This window comes from Homo sapiens, chromosome 18 (assembly GCF_000001405.40).
Source record: "Homo sapiens chromosome 18, GRCh38.p14 Primary Assembly".
Classification (NCBI taxonomy): domain Eukaryota; kingdom Metazoa; phylum Chordata; class Mammalia; order Primates; family Hominidae; genus Homo; species Homo sapiens.
The window spans coordinates 47,829,779-47,852,882 of NC_000018.10; the positions used below are offsets into that span (position 1 = coordinate 47,829,779).

General features: G+C 34.7%; 1 protein-coding gene across 3 annotated transcripts in view; it reads right to left on the bottom strand.

Moving 5' to 3' along the window:
- Nucleotides 1-23,104, bottom strand: part of SMAD2 (SMAD family member 2) — a 121,916-nt gene that overhangs the window by 20,822 nt on the left and 77,990 nt on the right. For all 3 annotated transcript variants that reach the window (NM_001135937.3, NM_001003652.4, NM_005901.6), the window contains 5 exons: nucleotides 21,496-21,549; nucleotides 18,697-18,909; nucleotides 15,885-16,022; nucleotides 15,562-15,706; nucleotides 1-12,172 (listed from right to left, as the gene is read on the bottom strand). The exon at nucleotides 1-12,172 is cut by the window's left edge and continues 20,822 nt beyond it. In NM_001135937.3, coding sequence (NP_001129409.1) covers nucleotides 12,049-12,172; nucleotides 15,562-15,706; nucleotides 15,885-16,022; nucleotides 18,697-18,909; nucleotides 21,496-21,549 — 674 coding nt within the window. In that variant the 3' untranslated portion in view covers nucleotides 1-12,048. The remainder of the gene's footprint in view (nucleotides 12,173-15,561; nucleotides 15,707-15,884; nucleotides 16,023-18,696; nucleotides 18,910-21,495; nucleotides 21,550-23,104) is intronic.

Sequence of the window (23,104 nt, forward strand, 5' to 3'; positions counted from 1 at the left end):
ATGTTTTATGTTTTACCAACAAATAATTTGTATGTTAAATTTAAGCATCTGAATTCCGAAATGATAAAGAACAGGAAAATAATGACTAAGCTAACAACCAAACTTTCAGAGTATAAAATTTTGTCAGTGGTTTTCATTTTAGAATTAAAAATTTGAATTTCCCTTTGCCTACAAGTCTAAGTAACTTGCAGCAGCAAATTCCCCCACTGACAACTTCAAAGCATAGCAAGAATCCACAGTGGTTTGCAGGCCACTAATTCTTTTACAGATGAAAGCATTCAATTATCTCTATAAAATTCAATTCCTTAGAATATGTGTTTGTGATTGACGATGTACATTTTTAAATGTGGTGATAACACGTTATTATTCATGATTTAAAAGTTGAAATGAAGTAGCTTGTGGTTCTTGGGTAAAACAGACACTAATAAGTTTTTTTTCAATATAAAAGAGCAACCTAGACATTCCTATAAAACATTTTTATTCCAGGTGGTAAGCTGGCTTAAATTTTCACTTTTCAGCCAGGCATGATGGCTCACGCCTGTAATTCCAGCACTTTGGGAGGCCGAGGCAGGCAAATCATCTGAGGTCAGGAGTTCAAGACCAGCCTGGCAAACATGGTGAAACCCTGTCTCCACTAAAAATACAAAAAGTAGTTGGGCGTGGTGGTGTGTGCCTGTAATCCCAGCTACTCAGGAGGCTAAGGCAGGAGAATCACTTGAACCCAGGAGGCGAGGCTGCAGTGAGCCGAGATCGCCCCACTGCACCCCAGCCTGGGCAACAGAGCAAGACTCTGTCTCCAAAAAAAAAAAAAAAAAATTCGTTTTTCTCACAGCAGCACATTTCTAAATGGCAAACCATTTAGAAGTGAGTCATCATTTGTATTAAAATCTTATTTACATGGTACTTATGTAGTTTGATCAAATACTGCCACAATATAGTTTAGAGGCAAGACCTCTCATGAAGAAAAACTTTACAAGATTTAAAATCAGAGCAAATGAATTTCTTAAGTTCAAGATACGTACTCTCAATGGAGAATCGCTGTTGGGCAGTGGTTAAGGCCTCTGATTTGCTACTTATTAGAAAAATCCACATATATACAAAACTCTGCTAAAATTCCAATGGCTTCTCTAGATGAATCATCTTTGGCTGTGAGCAAAAAAGTTAACTAAGTTTCACTTAATACACACACACACACTAGGGTTTATATGTAGCAACTTCCTCATCCTCATTCCACAGGTAGCCCGTTCTTGGCTGGGTTATGGCTTGTAATCTCAGAACCACTGCCCCCAAATGACTGCTCAGAAGCACAATCTCACTGCAAACTATGGAACCCAAACTATACAGCTATCCTTGGCTTTTAACTCCAAGCTATCTAGGCCTTGTGATTATATGTGGGCTTCATAGCAGAACCTACCAGGCTTGTGGTTATCAATTTTCTGCTCACCATATAAGCAGTAGCTCAATAACACCGTCCAGTTTTCATGTATATCCAGACACACAGGTGAGAGTTCTGTTCCAAGATCTCATTTTGACCTTCTTCAAAGGTCTTCTCCATCTCTCCAAATTGAATGTATTCTTCAACCCTGGGCTTACTGTATTCTGCCCATCTTCTTCCTGGACCAAACTGTTCAGAAGTTAACTTCTTTTTCCTGTCATCACATCTCTTTCCTAAACTACTTTAGAACTTAAATAATTTTATTTTCACATAACATTTAGAAAGGTGCAGAGGCAGCCAACAAAACTATTGAAGACAGACTGTAAAAACTGGCAAATCCCCATCTCAAATTCCATTTATTCTATAACCAATAAAGTCATGCAGTTTGGACGGGAGCACAGTAATACATTCTGTTCTCATGTAGCTTCCTAAGTATGCTTAGTCTATTGTTCATTTATCACTGAATCTGTTATCTGCTAAGTCTGATTCAATGTTCTTGCCTTCTATTAATGTGATTTTAAGAATTACTGCATGTCTCACTATGGCAAAATAGCATGACATTTGTTTTACAAAATCAGTTAAACCAATTCTACAAATATTTCCATACCTATTTATTGCAGCAAAAGATAATTTTTATGTGTAAATTAGCTTTTTGGGTTTTTCTATTCCTTTATTTGTAAACTTATAATTTTTAGGTTGGGCTTACTATTTTGATGAGAAGGGTGAATCTGTCAAAGGGTAAGCTGGATAACTGTATGTTGCAAACATGTTCCTGAACATTCTTCACCCAAACTTAGACAAACCTGGAGCTTAAAATAATTACATTGGATGACATCAGTTTGATACTGATGCCTGCTTCCTGCACTAAGAGGCTTTCAATCTATTTTGAAGAGGGAAAAACAGAATATGCCAAGTGGGGAGACAGCCCAAACATAGACCTTAATACTTCTCTCATACTCTTCAGCCATTTGATGAACATGTGGAATTATGGATGCTAGGGCCATTATAAAAATCTCCTGATACAGAACAGTGTCACTACTTCAAGCTAAGCAGTGACAGGCAAAGCCAGGCTGAGGTGACAATGTAGAAGGATCTCGAGTCAGCCCTCAATGTTGTTGTTCAATGTTGGGAAGTCCCTTTTAGATTATTTATACAGTGGCAGGTGGTAGCAATTACAGTAAATTTTCTTGGGTTTCTTCCTAATAAAAAAGTGTTGATAAAACTACACCAGTCCCAAGGCTATTCAATGCCACGTAAAATAGTGTATTTTAGCATTTGAGGTCCCTTTTTGTTGCATACTAAAGCATGTTTAAAATGGTTTGCAGAAAACAGTCTGCTAACCAGTACTGATTCATCCACAGAACTGAATTCTTGCAAGGCACAAAGGAAGTGTGGCTGACCTAAATATTTCTCATTTTTAAAATTATTCATACTGATTATATGAGATTATATCTTATCTAGTATTTTTCAATGGAGCCTTAAAAATGTTATTTTGTTAAAAGTATATTTCAGCAAATTTCAACTTTGAAGATGTTTTTGTTTACAGCATAGATCTTATGTATTAGAGCGCTAATGTAGCATAGGCAAACTCTGAAATAAATAAAAATGTATAAATAGCACTGTGCAGTGTGTGGTGTGCGCCTGTTGTGGGGTTATATTAAGTAGTATAAATTTATCTCCCGGGGGGATAGGATAATCTTTTATGTAACACCAAATTAAAAAAACAAAAACATGTACTCTTAAAATCATATGTCCATATGTGAAATACAATCACTTTTTTTGGTTTCCATATAATTTAGGGAGTGAACACCAAAATGTAATCCCATATAAAAAAAGATCAGTTTAAATAAAAATTAAAACAATTAAAAATTAGTCCCATAGTAACATGGTAAACAACTCAAATGGCTTTCTTTTAATGCTAGGAAAACTGTCCACCTTTCAACGGTGACAGGGCTGTTAACACAGGTAAGAGCAAACAAGGTAAAAAGTGAAAGCACATACAGATGATGCACACAAATATATATAAAAATTGACCAGAAATCACAGGACATGTAAGCAATGTTTTCTTAAGCAGAACTTTTTTTGTACTTTAAATAGACTAAAATATTTGGTGTAGGTGGGAGAAAGACATCAGTATTCAACAATTTTAACTTGAAAACCAGCTGTAATAAAGCCTCAGCTCATTGTTTAATAAAAATAAAAAAGGAACCACATCGTACTTTTGACAATCATAGAACGAAAGCTCACAAAGAACACATTTAATATCTCCATCACAGTGCACCAAGGATGCAGCCACTAAGGACTTCCAGAGGGAAACAAGAACAGGGTCTGCATCCATCATATTGCATTACAAAGTTAATGCCATCAGAGAAAAAAAATCTCACCTCACGTGCTCAATGTTCTAGCTGGTAAGCACCTTATGAGTATGAGGCTACAATTGAGAGAAACTGCTCAGTCTGCATCAGGACACCCAATTCCTTCACTTGCCATTGGCTGATGCATTTAATCATTTTAACACAACATTCACGGAAAAATGTTAACAACACATTCTGGCTTCTCGAGCAGAACAGACTGGGAAATGCAGTAGACGCCAGAGCATCAAAGGCCATGTATTTCCTCACAAGAAAAGAAATCTGCAACAATTGGTTTCCTTTTACTATGAAAAATGTAAATTTCAGATTAAGTTTAACCCCATAAGGACGCATGATTTGTACTTACATATACACATAGGTTCAGAAGAACTTAGCTATCTAGTTGGCCTCTTCTCTGTTCCATTATAACATCAGTTACCTTAGCTGGATCACTAAGTGTGAGTCTCACCACCATACTGGTACCTTCAGCTATTACCTGTGTTATAAATCTCATGTTCCATTCAAAGTACTAAATGACTGGATGGCACATATCCCAATAAGTATCAGAAATGTTGACAGCCATAGTGCAGCTGAGTTTAGAAGCAACTATGACAACATAGGGAAGTAAGGATAAATCACAAGAACACCTAAGGTGGTCAGCTCCTTCTGGTGTGCCTGGGACTTGTTTTGAGTTTAGCAAAAACTTTACAAGATTAAAAATCAGAGCAAATGAATTTCTTAAGTTCAAGATATGTACTCTCAATGGAGAATCGCTTTTGGGCAGTGGTTAAGGCCTCTGATGTGCTACTTATCAGAAAAATCCACATATATACAAAACTCTGCTAAAAGTTTTGTATCCAGGGAAAGTCCCGCATCCAGGGAAACCCTCAATCCCAGGCACTTTAGGGCAGCTGGTCACCCTGAGAACACTACCCACTCGTTCCTTAATATCACTAGAGAAAAGGTAAGAACTTTCAAGGGCATAACCTTTAAGGGCATCAGTCCCCAAAATATTTTTACATCACTAGCTAATGGCTAGTTCCTCTAAGCTTGCTAAAAGGCTAGGAAGTCCAGAAATACCTTAAACGTGTTAACTTTAAGAAGAGTTGGTAGTAATCAAGCAAATTAGTGAGCAGTGTATAAAAGCTCACTCTTGAAATCTGTTTTCAGACAAATCTTCTAAAGGTTCTTCTAGCTTTGTCCAGTTATATGGTATTTTACTGTATTCTCTTTTTGCAATTAATCCAGTTTTGTATGTCTTTTCTTTCTTTTTTAGGTGAAAATATTCTATGCCAACTGTTTTCCACAGTCCTGCATTATATATTAAAACAAAGGCTGCCAGCTGGAGACACAGCCCTCCGATTACAAAGGCCCAGAATGTTACTTTTAACTGTGCTCCACCAGGAGGTCTGGCCTTGGGAAAAGATGGCGAAAGGAATATTCTCAGATATGAACATTTTTTATTCTGCCTACAATGCTGTGATCTAGTTCAACAACTGCAGAACTGTTCTCATCTTAATCGCTGTAGTTTTTCTTTCTTTACTCTTTTGTATAAAAGGTTAGTGTCACAGCTTCACTATCACTAATAAAAAGATACAAATATGCCTTTCAAGTCAGGGTTGGAAAAGCAAAACTGAGGTGTGAGGTTACACTGGTCTAAGAAAGTACCAATTTGGGTTCTATATTTTGTCAAACAGTTGGGTTTTTAAAAAAATTCAAAACTCATGCATGTTACCTACTTGTCATGTGTGAATTATTTCTCACAATTTTAATTAATCTGTGTGTATATTAGTTATATAAAGCAATGGATTTCCACATTCTTAAAGCAGGAACCTATATTCACCAGAAAAGGATCCTCCTGTTTCTCATCAAATTTTTTTTCAGCTCGAACAATCCAAGATTGGGAATAGTAAGAGTGGCAAACAAATGTTTTCTTAGGGACTTACTGAGAAAAGAAAAAACTTACTGGGAGAACAGAGACTTAGTAAAATTTCTATTGCTACAGACAAATGCTAAAAACCAGCTTTATAATAACAGCATTATAAAGGATAGAACTTAATATAGAACCAGAAATATGGCAAGTTACCTAGTGATTAACATTGTAAAATAGTCAAAAACTTTAAAGCCACAGAGAAAGGAAAACAATTATGAAATGGAAAATATATAATATTTAAGTACTTTTATAATTCTAAAACTTCACTTTTGTCCTTAAATCAATATATTACGGATTTCATTGTTCAATAAATTACCATCTTTAATTAAAAATAAGTAAATCAAAGAGCATATTTGGAGAAACTAAGAGCTGTTAACTGTTTGGAGGGTAAAAGAATACTTTTCTCGAAATTTTTTTGAAGAAAAATCTAAAAGCCCTCTATGTTGAGTTAATACACCTTCTGACCCCCATCATCAGTGGCATTATTCTTCCAAGGGACTCTTATATCTAAGCAATGGTGAAGTTCTGGATTCATTATGGATCTCATGGCACCAAACCAACTGGCACTGAAGTTAAGTTAATATACTCCAGCGAGATCACCTGTGGGTCAAGGATGGCCCAGAGAATCTTGGAAAATCCATTTATATTGAGCAAAGATCTGAATCACCTTCAATCAGGCTGTAAGATACTAGAAAATTTGACCTTGTAGTAGTATTTCCCAGGGTAACTTAAGCAGCAACCTTGCACCAGAAGAAGAATTAAAGAGGGAGCAATCTAGTATTATCAACAACAACAAAGTTAACCCTAAGTTAGTACATCCCAGAATCTGCTGGATGTATAATAATTTAGTAACGGGGTATATGGCAGAGCTTTCTTTGATGTTAACAAATTTTGGCTGTGATTCTTAGTTACCAAGTTGCCAAAAAATGGTATATTAAATGAACTGCCAAATGGCAGATTAAGAAAATTAATGTACTCCAATGGTCTGTCCATGAAAGGAAAATGTACACAGACAAATTAAGAACATTTTACCAGGATCTGAGATTTAAACAATGGAACAATTGTTTTAACTGTTAGAATGACCCCAACTGTTAAGTTTGTCTATGAGTGTATATGTATATATAAATTCATACACATATATTATTTATTTCCTTCTTAAAAAGACTGAGGCAGTTCTGCTATATATAGTTAGCTACAATATTCAAGATAAAACAGTTCCTACTCAAAAAATTACATGAACACACGAGATAAGTTCTTATCGTAAATGCTATCATGAGGCTATCTAGTATAGCTCATATTTCCTGGTTGTAAGGCTCAAAACACAGGAATTCCACTCCAAGAGATAATTTGCCCCTCAATCCCTACAAAGTGTAGTCTAAACAAACAAAATGGTAATAAAAAATTGAAAAGGAAGATATAAAAAGAACTCAATAGCAGGATTCTGACTACCTCTGGAGACCACACACTATCATTATTCTGACTGTCTTAAATACAACAATCCAATATGCCCCAAGATGGAAATCTGGTATCGTAGGGAAAACATTGGCTGCAACTGTCAGAAAAGTTCATAATCTTAAACATAATTTATGCCATTTGCCAGTCACAAAGACATTTACTGAACAGAATTTTTGAGCCATTTGTAAAATTAAAATGATTGATCAATTTGAATAGCAACCTTCATGATGAAGAAATTAGGACTCTAGGTATGAAAAGCATGTTCCTTTTTTGTTAATAAGTTCAAAGGAGAGAAACATTCTGATATATGCAGATAAAAATATGGCTAGGCTGGGCGCGGTGGCTCATGCCTGTAATCCCAGCACTTTGGGAAGCCGAGGTGGACAGATCACGAGGTCAGGAGATCGAGACCATCCTGGCCAACACGGTGAAACCCCGTCTCTACTAAAAATACAAAAAATTAGCCGAGTGTGGTGGTGGGCGCCTGTAGTCCCAGCTACTTGGGAGGCTGAGGCAGAAGCATGGCGTGAACCCGGGAGGCGGAGCTTGCAGTGAACCAAGATCGCACCACTGCACTCCAGGTTGGGCAACAGAGCGAGACTCCCTCTCAAAAAAAAAAAAAAAAAACAAAAAACAAGGCTAACAAGAAAGAGGATAACCAGCAAGTACCACCTGGATGTGTGTTGTCAGGTAGAAAGGAAGAATAAAATTCAGGCAATGAATATAATAGATTTAGCAAAGTAAAGCATATGAAAGGAAGAAATGTTTGATATGTCTAAGTATCAATGCCTTCGATCAGAGTAAGAAAAAAGTATTCATTGTTCATGTCCACAGACTAGATATCTAAAGAGATACTTGGTGGGCAGGGGCTTGGGAGGGAAGGCGCAAATTGGAATGTTCAGCTTTTAAAGTAAAGACTGTACATGAAGACATATTTTATGTACAGTGAAGATTGTCTTGTGTTACTTTATATCCCAACATAAACCTACGCCACCCTCAGACGAAGAGGGTATCTAACACTGAATAAATGCTGAACCTATTTAGTAGTTAAAGAAAAAAGAGAAGGATCTTAAAGGTATATATGGGAAGCTTTTAAGAGGTAGAGAAACCAACTGGGTATATATTTTCTTTTATTTGATTTCAACTAGCAAGAGACTAAGACTGATGTTTGTTTGTTTGTTTTACCTTCAAAGTCTTAGTCTTAAATTGACAAGGGCACAAAAAAAGTGAAATTAAAATAATTTTAACAAAAGGGAAAGCATTTGACAGTGTTTAAAAGACAGACAAATCAAGCAAAACTCAATGTGGCTTAAGGTAAAAAATACAACTAGGTATTAAACAATTTGTAAAAACTTACAAAGAAAATTTAGCTTTCAAGAAAAATTAGGCAGATTTCCTTCTGCCAAAGTGACAGGTCCTGAGGAAAAAAAACACAACCTCTACAAGACCAAGCACAGCTCAAGGGTCAGGGCCCCGTCCTAGTCATCTTTTTATTATTCAATATCCATCACAGTGGCTGGGCAAACAACAGGCATCAATAAATGTTTACTAACTGAATGTGTATTATAAGGTATAATCGGTATAACTGATATAGCTCAAATCTAATCATGAAAGCTTCTTTAAAGTAGGATAAAAAGAGCACAATCAGCGGTATTCCAGAAGGTAGGCCTAAATCCAGTTATATTTTTCTAATCGTTGACCAGTGGTTATAAAGACTTTCTGAGCTTCTTTTTAAAGCAATGAAACTCTTTCCAAAAGAAACCCCATGCAGTTCTTCAGTACAGAATAAATATGCCACTAAGTCAGTGAGAACTCCAACAGCCTCCCCTAAGCCAGCCCCCAAGGTGTCTCTGTGGAACCTACTGGAAAAAATATTACTCATCTTAGAAATGTGATAGAAAGCATGGCCATTCGGTTCTCAGGTCATCATTCCTAGAAAATTAACAGTATTGTGAAGAATAAATCCTAAGTAATGTTGCTAATTTAAATAAAGACAAAAATTCAACAAAGAGGGGATTCTATCACTTAGAAAAATGAAAACCACACCTATAAATGGGGGGAGGGGCAGAAAACAAAAAAAAAATCAGGCCACAGTAGATAAAATACAAAAAACATCATCTCGTTAAAAAGCATCAAACACATTCACACAAATGTAATTACAACCAGGAAGTAAACTGCTCAACAGGTATAACTGCTCAATAGGTGTTTTCAAAGAGTTGAGTCCCAATTTCATACTGTACAGAAAAATCGCATCAGAACTGTAGAGATGCGCTCCACTACTGAAACAGCATAGTAGGCACTGCTTGACCTAACACAGTAATGCAAGAGTAACCACCAAGATCAGGACCTTCTACCACTTTCAGAGTTGTTTTCTGCCCCTACAACTGTTCCCTAACACCATTACAAGTTCTCAAGTAAGAAAAAGAAGGGCAGAGGCTCCACTGAGTATCTCCTACAGGCCTGATAGTGGTATTACCTAGGACATTTACTCTGCTCACAAGATGGGTAGTGGAAGACATAATTACTGGACAGCACAAAGTCTGGAAGCAAGCAGCAGGGCACTAAAACAGTGAGAGCTTACACAACAAAAGCTTGTTAAATTAAGTAGTACTGATGTGGTGCAAATGAAATTTTTACAGCAAAGGTTGAGGAAGGAGATATGTTAGTGAGAATCACATGAAGCAGACTATCACAAAATAAGGCCACCTTCAAAATGTTATGAACTGTAGAACCATTCTGATCTTCAAGTTTGGATTTGTATAGAGGTTTCTGTATAAAGCATTAATACCTAATCAGGAGTTTCCTTTAGTGTGAACCTTTTTGCATTTGATGCTATTCTCTTTGCCAGGAATGCTTATCTCCCCTGGCTCCTCACTTGGCTTGCTTCTTTAATGTCAGGTGTTAGCTCATGCATCCTTTCCTTAGAGGCTTTCCTTGATGTCCTACCTGAAGCATCCCATCTGTTATTCTCCAGTACAGTACCCTGTTTATCTCCTTCATAGACAAGTAAGATAATTAAGGGTTAGTGTAACTGCTGTCTCAGCAAAGGCAGGAACTGTAGTTGTCTTGTTCACCTTTACCCAAAGACTAAGAAAAGTTCCTGGTACAAACAGGTGAACAATAAATATTTGTTGAATGAATAAAAAATTACTATACCAAATTTACATGAACACATACATATACACACAAATATAGGAAAATGGGGAGTACCCAATAGAAAACCACCAAATGTTGAAAGTATTGAAAATGATACCTATAGAGACAGGTGGATATGATTTCAAAGAACAAGTACCAAAGACAGCTTCAAAAATATGAAAATTTATGAAAAGACGACCAGGAGTGGTTATTTTCCATTTCTACTAAGATGCAAACAAGAAGAAATGTTTAAACTGCAATGAGTCAACATCAGACATAATAATTATTTGCTGCAGAATGAACTAGCAACAGAGTTTCGGAAATCTCCTCTCACTACAGAGCATGAAATATTGTCAATCACAAAACCAGGATCAGTTAAGAACAGCTCAGACTGCAGGTAACTTATAAGCTAAAAAACTTGCTAAATAAATGGCTTTTCCCCCAATTTTTAAAATTCTGAATTCATAATTATGTGTAGAATAACAATCAATTTATAAACTGAATACAACATACTTTAAAAACAGATGGCCCATATCTGCTGATCCTACCTCAGCATCACTTTTCTAGGTATTTTGCAGAAACAATTACATTTACAAAAGGCCCATTTCATAATGCAATCTGGTTACTAAACCAAATCAAACTACTCGAAGAGCAGAAGGTCTGCTGTTGAAATATTGTAAAATACCTTTGGAAAAACGGTATTTATAGATTAGCTTTTTTAAAAAGGGATAAATATGTGGAAGTAATTCTAGCATATCCCTGAAAATAATTATACTGCCACCTATGCATTTTTTATGAGGTGGAAGGATAAATCAACAGACTGCTAGATTATACAAGCCAATTATTCCTGTTGAAATTTGGGCATAAGACAAAGGGACTTTCTCCATATGAATTCTTACTGTATCCCAGAATTAACTGGTGCCAGCAGTATCAATGCAACTATTACTGGTGATGATGTCATGTTATGCTGTTTTGATTATGAGGACAAAAATGGGAATGGAAAAAAGAGGCTTGGAAAGGTTTTCAGTATGGTTTCCTTATAATAAGATTTAGCAGTTAAAAAAAAAAACAAAAAAAAACAAAAAACCACAAAAAGAATGACTGTTTAAGCCCCACTGAACACATTAAGGTCAAGGATTTCAAAAGTTAATCCACTTTTCTTCCCCCAAGAGTTTATTTTTGGTAAAAGGCAGAAAAATTAGTTTTTCTACAGGAAAATCTGCTTCTAAATAATTTGAAAATCTTGATATATATTATATATTAAAAAAGACACACAAAAATAACAGAGAAGTGGGAATAACAGATTAGGTACTGCAACTTTATAAAGGTTTGCCTAGATCAAGAAGCAGCGCACACACACACCTCATCTATGCAAACTAAAAATGTATATAAACAGCACAATACTGTGATACTGGATCATGATACATTACCTGTACACATAACTACTACTGTTATTAATAAACCTTTGGGACACTCAGTTTTATGCCCAATAAGACATCATTAAGTCTTTAAAATCTTCTCTTCCTCTTTAATGGGAGAGTATTTCTAGACACTAATTTTCCCATCTAATATTCAAATATAGGAAACAGATTCCACAAGGTGCTTTAATTGATGAGACCTCAAGTGCTGTTTTCTCTCTTGAACTTTTGGATAGTAAACAGTCCATAGGGACCACACACAATGCTATGACAGAAGAGTTGTTACATTAAGTCTTTTCATGGGACTTGATTGGTGAAGCTTTATGACATGCTTGAGCAACGCACTGAAGGGGATCCCATCTGAGTTAATACTTTGTCCAACCACTGTAGAGGTCCATTCAGATGAAGTTCAATCCAGCAAGGAGTACTTGTTACCGTCTGCCTTCTGTTTAAAAGAATACAGGAAAATGATTATGAAATTCAAGTCCACAGGCAGGGAAAATGGCTATGTTTAGGTACACTGCATTAAAAATTTACAGAAATTAAAAGGTTGTGTATATAATTTTGGACACGATTATTCCGCAAAATGGTTGATCCTCAAAGTCAAAGTACTTCTGATGACCTTGTTTTAGAAGTGATTTACAAGAACATCTTTTTCTCATCGCACTAAAATTAATAAGGTGATCTTATTATTCACCATCATCCAAAATGGAACACCTGAGAGAGAATGTAGATACTATTAATATCAGGCCAGGGCCAGGCGTGGTGGCTCACACCTGTAAGCCCAGCACTTTGGGAGGCCGAGGCAGGCGGATCACAAGGTCAAGAGATTGAGACCATCCTGGCCAACATGGTGAAACCCCGTCTCTACTAAAAATATAAAAATTAGCTGGGCGTGGTGGCGTGTGCCTGTAGTCCCAGCTACTCGGGAGGCTGAGACAGGAGAGTCACTTGAACCCAAGAGGCAGAGGCTGCAGTGAGCCGAGATCATGCCACTGCACTCTAGCCTGGCGACAGAGTGAGACTCTGTCTCGGGGTGGGGGGCAGAAAAAAATCAGGCCAAAAGGAGACACGTGAATCAGGATTGTCCAAGCAAACCAAGACATAAAGTAACTGTACTTACCAAATCAACCACAGAATAGTAGATACTCAAATATCAAACAGAATCTAAGTAAAAGTATACCAAAGCAAAAACAAAATTTTGGCCCAAGCTAAACCCACACCACAGAGAGTGTTAAAAGCTGGAATTCAACTTTCCCTGCCAAAGCCAATGAACATCCCTCTTAGCAACACCATTCGGGCTTTTAATAGTGCTTCAACAAAAGGGGCAACTCTAAGAGAATTACAAATTATTCAATGACATCCTGTCACTTCCATGCGCTGATTTTAGTTCCATCTTATTTGCTATACAGAATAAAGTCAATAAATCCACTTGCTTCTACAAACTAACAGCCCTTCAAATATGAGAAAAGCCCATTATCAACTCTTCATCTCCAAGCAACACATGTTCAATGTAATTTAAAACTGTACTTCCAAGGATGTCACTTTCTGAGGCAGATGGTATCAGTGCCCCACTGTACCCTTTGGATTTTTCAGTGTGCTCTAGACAACTTCCAACTGCAGGTATCTGCATTTCTGTGCCCAGGAACTTCTCTGATATACCCAAAAAGGCTAGAGGTGCCAGGAAAGAAGCATCCCCAGGAGCAGCCCTCAACCAAGGAAACAGAAATTGACATTTACATGCCCAGCACTTCTGTTCCCCTGGGTAGGATAATTCTGTAGACTGTTTACTGTTTCCTAGAGTTTCCCCAAGGGTGTCAGTTCTAGTGACCCACCCACTCTGGTAGATGGCTTAACAATGGTCCTGGCTGCCCTGTTCTCCCCTGTCCCACTTCCCTTTCTAGAATAATCCATAATCCAGGTCACCCAAGGGGAGTAGGTTTAAGAAGGCTGCCACTCGATTAAATACAAATTCTTCATACATCTAAATTTCCTGTTTACTACATTTCCTCATTTTTGTGCTAACAACCAAGATGACATTAAGGAAATTTAAAAAAAATAGTTTTAGAAACCTAAACATTAGGTCTATTTCCTCAGCTCCAGAATGATTACAGACAGTAAGTTCCTGGTAGCTACCCACATATCCACAGATAGATGGATATTTGCCATTTTGATTTGTAAATGTTACAGGAAACTACTTGATTTTCCAAAGTCAGATGTACCTGACTCCCAATACTCATAAAAACATACTGCATATTACTGCTTCTGTAATTACAGATTTTACTTTATCTGTGAGTTAAAGAACAGCAGAGTCCACAGTGAATGAAGAAGGGCAGTATCTTTACCAAGTAAAACTGTTCTTAGCAGATCTATAGATACACATGGAATTCTCTCTGTAATTCACTCTTACTTCCACTAAATTCCTACCATATTTTGCATTATTCTAACCTTCTGAAGAACAAAAAAAAGTCTGACCTGAAATCTTATTAGACAATATAATTTAAATCTAATTTTGCTATCAACTCAGGTCAAGTCTAATTTTAAAAAACGGCATTCAGCATTCTTAACAGGTAACAACATCTCAAAAGGGTAATAATCAAAACAGAACTACAGCAAAATCACAAAATGAATTATTCTACCAATATAACTCAGAAAAAAATAGTGACAAGTCTTCATTCTCTGATACAAATATATACCATATATTTTTAAATGTATTCAACAAGTAGACCTCACATTGCACAATCTCAAATCAGATTTCTGACAAAACTTAAGATAGACAAGCAAGTCCAAAACAAATAAATTTGGAAGGGACTAAATTGCTGGAAGAAGCAGGAATACAATCACTATATTACATGAATATTTCTTAAGCAGGCATATGGAGTAAGCAATACGAATTGAAGAAAGACTAAGTATTTTACTTAATTCCTACTCTTAAATATGGTCAAGAAGTCTTCTCTCTCTTTGATGTGAAATCCAATCTATTGTTTAATTCATCAATAATCTAGACTATCTTATCCACTGATGACAAATTAGTTTTTGTAAAACTTAAACATAATTGTTACTACTATCCTTATAAAAGAGGTAAAGAGTCCAGGAGAACTATCTTCCAGTCCCATCTCAACCACTTATAATGTAACCTTGGGCAAATTATCAGCTTTCTATGTCTATTTCCAAATATGTATTAGTTTGAACCATGTGTTACCTGCAACGATGGCAATTTCATATATTTCAACCTTACAAAGAATGAATTGACAACAGAAATAATAATTTTTAGATACTACACTTAAAACAGCACAGTGCCTGGCACATTAGCAAGTATTCCTTCTACTTCTGAATGAAGTTCCTCCTCTTAACCTACATCTAGTTTGTCTCAATTTAATTGTCCAGCCTTATTTTTCTATTCTCCAAACTGAATTGCTATGCTATTGTCAAGATTATCACTTCCCAACTCTGCCCACCCCATTTATGACTATTGAAATCCAATGCACCTTTTACAACTAGATCATGTGCCATCAAGTTTTCCTTGAGCACCGTGTGCAAACATCTCTCCTTCCATAAACTGACATAACCCTTCATATACACCCCTTTTATGATATTTAACACTCTGAATTACGTTAAAATGCACGCCTGTGCATGTTTTAATATCTTCCATAATGGCAGCTCAGTAATTTGCAACAGTTTTGAATTTGGAGGCCTCCAACTTTATTTTACATAAAGATCAGCTGACTCTATAACCTCATTGAAAATAGATACAAATGAACTCCAGAATATGCAAGAATGCAATGAAACATAATTACACTGTGGAAATTTAAGAACCAAATATGTATTTCATACCGGTATTCTGCTCCCCACCCTTTCACAAAACTCATTCTTATGGTGCACATTCTAGTTAGCTGATAGACGGCTTCAAAACCCTGATTAACAGACTGAGCCAGAAGAGCAGCAAATTCCTGGTTGTTGAAGATCTTCAGATTACAGCCTATGATTAAAAAAGGTAAAAGAAATTGTCAAAAGAGTATCATTATTAAAAAGTAATTTTAAAAGGGTTACAAGTTTTAGAATATGAGCATGCAATCATCTACTGATTCCTAAAATTAGCAACAAGAAAAACTAAGCAAGTTGACATGATAGGTTTATGTACATTATTGAATCCATACCTGGTGGAATTTTACACACTGTTGCAGGGTGCCAGCCATATCTCTGATTACAATTGGGGCTCTGCACAAAGATTGCACTATCACTTAGGCACTCAGCAAAAACTTCCCCACCTATGTAGTATAAGCGCACTCCTCTTCCTGAAACAAAATACAAATGAGATTAGTTTTGTAACATTTACTATTTCAGTGTGACTTTGGAAGCATTTTCTTGGAAAAATTCTAAAATGATATAAGGTATTTCCAGGATCTTTTTCACAGATAATGTCTTTCTGAAGTCTAACTTTAAATATACTACTGTATATTTCTCCCAAGTATTTTCTAACAATAATTTTATTGATTTTAAAATACATGTGTACTGACTGAAAGTATTTAAACAATGTAGAAAAAGTACACATAGTAAAATAGTTTCATACAAATGATATATATTAAGATAAGTAAAAGATTGAGTTAATTTTGAAGGAATTCACTAATGTTTGGAGAAATATATCTTCATTACAACTGTAGTTTCTTAGAGATCCCACTTAATGTTAAGAAAAAAGATGTAAAAACATCAAAAAGTCATTTGCCATTTTAAAAACTATATATTATGGTGGAAACCCAACCTCTAGATGTATAAGCATGATTAGGTGAGAAAAAATTCTACTGGGAGATTTTTAATATACTTCTTTCAGAATCTGAGAGATCACAGATGCAAAATAATATGAGATATAAGAATTAAAAAAAAAATTGTGAGAAGCAGAGTTCTAACATGACACCTAAGAGTCTCAGCCCTGAGGTGCACATACATTCTCTGTTAATCAAACACTAGGTGCTGCTGTTAAGGATTTTTTCAGATGTAATTAAGGCAGCAAATCAGTTAACCTTAATCAGGCAATCCTTTAAAAGGGACTAGACTGTCATAGGCTAAGTGATTCAAAGCATGAAAGGTATTCAACACAAGAGACATTCTCCATTGCTGACTTTGAAGATGGATGGCACCATGTGACAAGGAATTCAGGAGGCATCTAGGAGCTGAATTCTGCCACAACCATGTGGGTTTAGAAGAGGACCTCAAGCTCCAGATAAGAACACAAGCCAGCTGATACCTCAATTTTGGCCTTGTTAAACCCTGAAAAGACCGCCTAACCCATGTCTGGACTCCTGACCCACAGAAACCGTGAGGTAAAAAACTGATGTTTTAGGCCACTGAGTTTGTGGTAATTTGTTACACAGCAAAAGAAAACTAATCAAACAACTAACACTCCAGATTTAATACAGAACCTGGTACGGTGGTTCTGTTAAGACTATGGAATATCTGTAAAACAGTCATGCACGTGGTCATTGGGAAAACACTAAGTCCAAAAAGTAGAGATTTTTCAGGCTATATTCCCTGATCAATATCACCTATAAAACTAGAAATAAAAAATTTAAAAAAATCCAATAACGACAGCAATCTAAAACTTTGGAGGGAGAAGAGAATAAGGCAGAGAAAACCCATTAAATTTTTTTGCAGAACCCCAATTAAGTCACAAAAACAAAAAACTATTTTAGTTAAAGCACCTACAGCGACACTGGGTATCTTAATAAGATTATCCAAATTTATACATCAAGCAAGATTTGAGAACTTCCACTTGGAACCAAGTAATAGATCTTCTAGTCACTATCATTTTGCAGTATCAAAATCACACTTTGATAACCAGCATTACTTCTCACAGGAGGTAATGGTTAATTAGAAAAAAAACAGAAGCAAACTACTGTTAAAAGAAGTTACTTTAAGGTGATGAGAATGATGTTCAATTATGAATGGTTCTCACACTTTTTCACTTCATCGTTAAGGAAATACTGAGGACCCCAAAGAGCTTTTGTTTATGTGAATATTATGGAAAATGACCATATTAGATATAAAAACTGAGATTTAAAAAATTCATTTAAAAATCAAATCCATTACATATTAACAATGTTTATAAAAAACAACTGTATTTCCAAAGCAAAAAAAAAAAAAATAGAGTGGCAACATTTCACCATTTTTGTCTATGAAAAACAACTATATTTCCAAAGCAAAAAAAAAAAAAAAAAAAAATAGAGTGGCAACATTTCAACATTCATGTCTAGTGTAACAGAATTGGAGTCTCATTATCAAATCTACATTTCATCTCTTGCAAAATCATATGCATGTAGGCTCTGGAATACTCCACTGTACAGTCATGAGAGTATGAGAGTAGAAATGGCAAACAGCATCTCAGTACTACTATGAAAATAGCTTTGACCTCACAAACTAGCTGAAAGGGTTTCTGGGACTACCAGAAGTCCCCAGACCACATTTTGAGATGTCCCTGAATTATATTTTGAACTATATTAAATGCAGTTCTTGTTTTAGATATCTCATTTCAGATGAACAGCAAGCAGATTTCATTTAATATATAAACTCACCAAAGGGGGAAAAAACCTGGGAGCTATATAAAGAAACTGAAAAAAAACAAAAACAAAACAAAACAAAAAAACATGATTTATAAAAAAGTATTAACCCCCAAATCTGAACATGGCAATTTTATGACTGGTAGAGACTCAGCAAATTAAACTTATCTTAACACATATTTATTGAAGAACTTTCCAGTACCAAGGGTGCCAAATAAAAGTTGAAGAGTTTGCAGCTGAAGCATCACCAGGATCTATTAGAAGCAGTGAAGCCTGTGCACTTAAATGTGTCGGCACTTAAACCACCAGAGAGAAAGCTGGTTTTACTGCACACAAGCTCTTGATGTGGCACACCATGCAATGCCTACATTATGAGTATACAGCATTTATTTTTCACAACAAGGAAAATAAAACATACCTATATGCCTTCTTGTCATTTCTACCGTGGCATTTCGGTTAACATTGGAGAGTAAACCTAAGCAGAACCTCTCTGAATTTGATGGGTCTGTAAAGCCATCTACAGTGAGTGAGGGCTGTGATGCATGGAAGGTTTCTCCAACCCTCTGATTTAATTCATAATATGCTATCGAACACCAAAATGCAGGTTCTGAGTAAGTAACTGGCTGTAAATCTGAAAAAGAAAAAAATAAAAAAATAATAAAAGGAAGAAATGCGTGAACAATTCAAGCCAAAAATAGATTTAATATAATCATCTTTACATGCTCTATGCCAGCCTGCACTGGCAAAAGCTCAGGAAGTAGACATAGTATCTGTATCGGTTTCCACAGATGATACCAGATTTTCAGTATTTTTCACACAAAACTCCAGTTTCATAGATCATACCAGATTTTTTCAAATTTCTCCCATGTCATTAAATCACTTTATGTTGGATTCTTTGTTTTACCAGTAGTTTTAGTCTAGCTCCTGTTCAAATACAAAACAATCATAGGCAAAGTCAGTCAACTTGCCATACTTGGTGCATTTCTAAAGCACATAAAAAAGCTAAAGTGGGGTAAGATAAAGCCAGAGCAAAGATTAATGAGTCAAAAGCCACACAAAGAAAAACAGTAATAATAAAAGGATACAAAATATGACATATTTTTGACATTTGTCTATTTTAACATCAAACTCTTGGTGAGATACCCTAGCTACAAAAAGAGAAAACCCACTCATACATAAGAACCAGAAAGCAGTAACACACAAAGATCATGCAAGTAGAAACAGACCATAGAGTCAAAAGACTACTTATTTCACTGGAAAACTATATATTTAGCTTCTGCAGTTTGACTAAAACATATCATAAGGAATACTGCAAAAGAAAAAAACCTCACAATTTTGTAGAATAAATTCCAAACATGTAACAACCGAAGAGAAATTGTGAAATAGGGTAAAATGAGGGCAAAAATAATAATAGTAATACAGAAATGTATGTATATATATATATATATATATAGTCATCCCTTGGCATTTACAGGGGATTGGTTCTAGGACCGGCTCCCCCTAACTAAAAACCCTTAGATGTTCAAGTCCCTGACATAAAAGGGTGTAGTATTTCCATGTAACTTAAATTCACGTCATCCTGTATACTTTAAATAATCTCTAGATTACTTATAATACCTAATAATATAAATGCTATACAAATATTTGTTATACTGTATTTTAAAATTTGGGCCCAGCACGATGGCTCACGCCTGTAATCCCAGCACTTTAGGAGGTCAAGGTGGGTGATTCGTTTGAGGCCAGGAGTTTGAGACCAGCCTGGGCAACATAGTGAAACCCCATCTCTACTAAAAATACAAAAATTAGCTGGGTGTGGTGGCATGCACCTGTAGTCCCAGCTACTCAGGAGGCTGAGGCAGAGAATTGCTTGAACCCAGGAGGCAGAGGTTGCAGTGAGCCGAGATTGCGCCACTGCACTCTAGCCTGGGCGACAGAGCAAGACTCTGTCTCAAAAAATAAATAAAAATAAATACAATTTGTATTAGTTTTTACTGTCGTATTGTTATTTTCATTTTTTCCCGATTATTTTCAATCTGCAGTTGGTTGAATCTGCAGATGCTGAACTCATGGTTATGAAGGGACCATACACATACACATTTGTACATATATGTGCACACTCTCATATATATATTATATATAGTATATATATATTATTATATATATGTATAATATATATTATATATTATATATTATATATATTATGTATAATATATATTATATATTATATATATTATGTATAATATATATTATGTATGTTATATACATATTATGTATAATATATGTTATATATATTATACATAATATGTATAATATATATTATATATATTATATAATATATATTATATATTATGTATAATATATATAATATATTATATATATTATGTATAATATATATTATATATTATACATAATATATATTATATATTATATATTATGTATAATATATGTTATATATATAATATATATTATGTATAATATATGTTATATATATAATATATATTATGTATAATATATATTATATATTATATATATATTATATATATTATGTATAATATATATTATATATTATATATATATTATATATATTATGTATAATATATATTATATACTATATATATATTATATATATAATGTATAATATATATTATATACTATATATATATTATATATATTATGTATAATATATATTATATATTATATATATATTATATACATTATGTATAATATATATTATATATTATATATATTATGTATAATATATTATATATTATATATATTATGTATATTATATATTATATATATTATATATATTATGTATAATATATATAAATCCCCATACTACGTATACATGTATACATATTTATGTCAATGTGTATATATGTAATACACATACCTTTTATTAATTACATCATAAAATAAACATAACCATAAAAATCTAGCCATAACAGGTTATATAATTTTCTATGAGGAATATGATTTCAATAATAAATAGATTATACCTATTTCTTATATGTGCCAGCAGAAAAGACTTAATAATTTTGAGGGATGGTGTCAATATTCTTTTTAAAAAGCACTACTTTAACCACATACATAATTATTTGGCTATTCATTAGGATCCCTTTCTCGGATATATAAAAAATAACTCCTAGAGATGATTTTTATTATTAAGTAGGTGATACAGTATAAAAATGATGAGGGGAACATATGTGCAACTTACCCAAGCTATGATTAACAGGGGAAAGAGTAGTAGGAGATAGTTCTGCTGGAGAGCCTAAAACAAAAGGATTTAAAAATAAATGAAGTATTTCCAGAACTTCTGATCAAGTAATCATAAAACTAGCTTTATCTGGTTATAATTATCAACAATAATACAAAGATAATTTAAATACCAAGAATTCAGAATATGTAAGTGCTTAAATTTAGTTTAATTTGTGGGGGGTCGGGGGAAGAGAAGGGGGGGTTCCAGTATAAAAGGTGCAACAGTTTTGGCTTCTAGCCCAACAGTTCATCTTCCCAAAGATATCTAATATTGACGGTTCCTTGGGTATCTTTCCAAAATACTCTATGAACCACATAAGCAAATACATTTTTGTTCTGTGTCCTTTCTTTTCATATACAAGTGGTAACCGTTTTTCATCTTCTATATTATTCTATCAGATTGTTCACAATGTGTTTCCTTATTTGTCTATCTACATATCAATTAGTCACATAACATCGCGATCCCACATTGATGGATATTCAAGCTATTTTCAATCTTTTGCTATAAGAACCAATGCTTTGAGATTGCAATAACTAATCTTGACCGTTTTGCACGCTTCCAATCACATCTGAAAGATACATTCTTCAAGAAACTGCCAGGTCGAAAGGTTTGTGTATTTGCAATTTTGATAGATTTGGGTAAAATTATCATTCATCAAGGTTGTACCAGTTTACATTCCCAGTCACAACATAGTAAAGGGATGCTTGAGGTGTTATTGCTTCTAGATGAAAACATGGTCACAAGTACAGTTTTAATTTTGAGTAGCTTTACACATGTTTATATTATATTTCCTTCCTGTGATAGTCTGTTCTTTTCTTTTGCGATGTTGATCATTTTCTTACTGATTGTTTGAAAGCTCTTTATGTGTATTAGGGATGTAAGTCTTCTTATGGTATGAGCTACAAATATTTAATCATTGGTCTTTTGACTCTTAATCCTAATTTTGATCATGTAGCACTAAAATAAAAGCCCTTCTACAAGATTTATCAATCATCTTTGGGTTAGCGTCACACTTTGGGATAAAACAGTGATGACGGTGGATATCTTACTCTTGACTTTTAGGGTAATGTTTCTACCATTTTCCCATTAAGCATGGCATTGGCTTTCAGGCTAACAGTAATAAAATATTTATTTAGGATTTTTGCATCAATAGTCTCAAGCAATACAAGCCTGAAGATTTACATGAGTGCTATGTTTGTAAGGCTCTGTGGTCAATGTTATGACAATCTAGCAGCTTTATCCTCTGCAAAGGTTTAAATAGTATTATAACAGCATATTCTTTAAAAGTTTGGTAGAATTCTTCTGTGAAATTATAGTTAGTAACTTTCTAGGGTTTACTACGAGACATTATTCTATGAAGGGTGACTTGTTCAGATAGCTCTATTTTCTGGAGTCAGTTCTGGTAAATTACACTTTCTTAGAAAATGATCTGTTTCTTCTTTTGGGTAAACAGGCTAAATCTAATCAAGAAAATAAGGGGGCACAAACATACAAAATAAGAACCACCACAGACAACATATGAAAAATCATGGCGCAACTAGTCTGCTCAGTTCCATGCAACTCAATT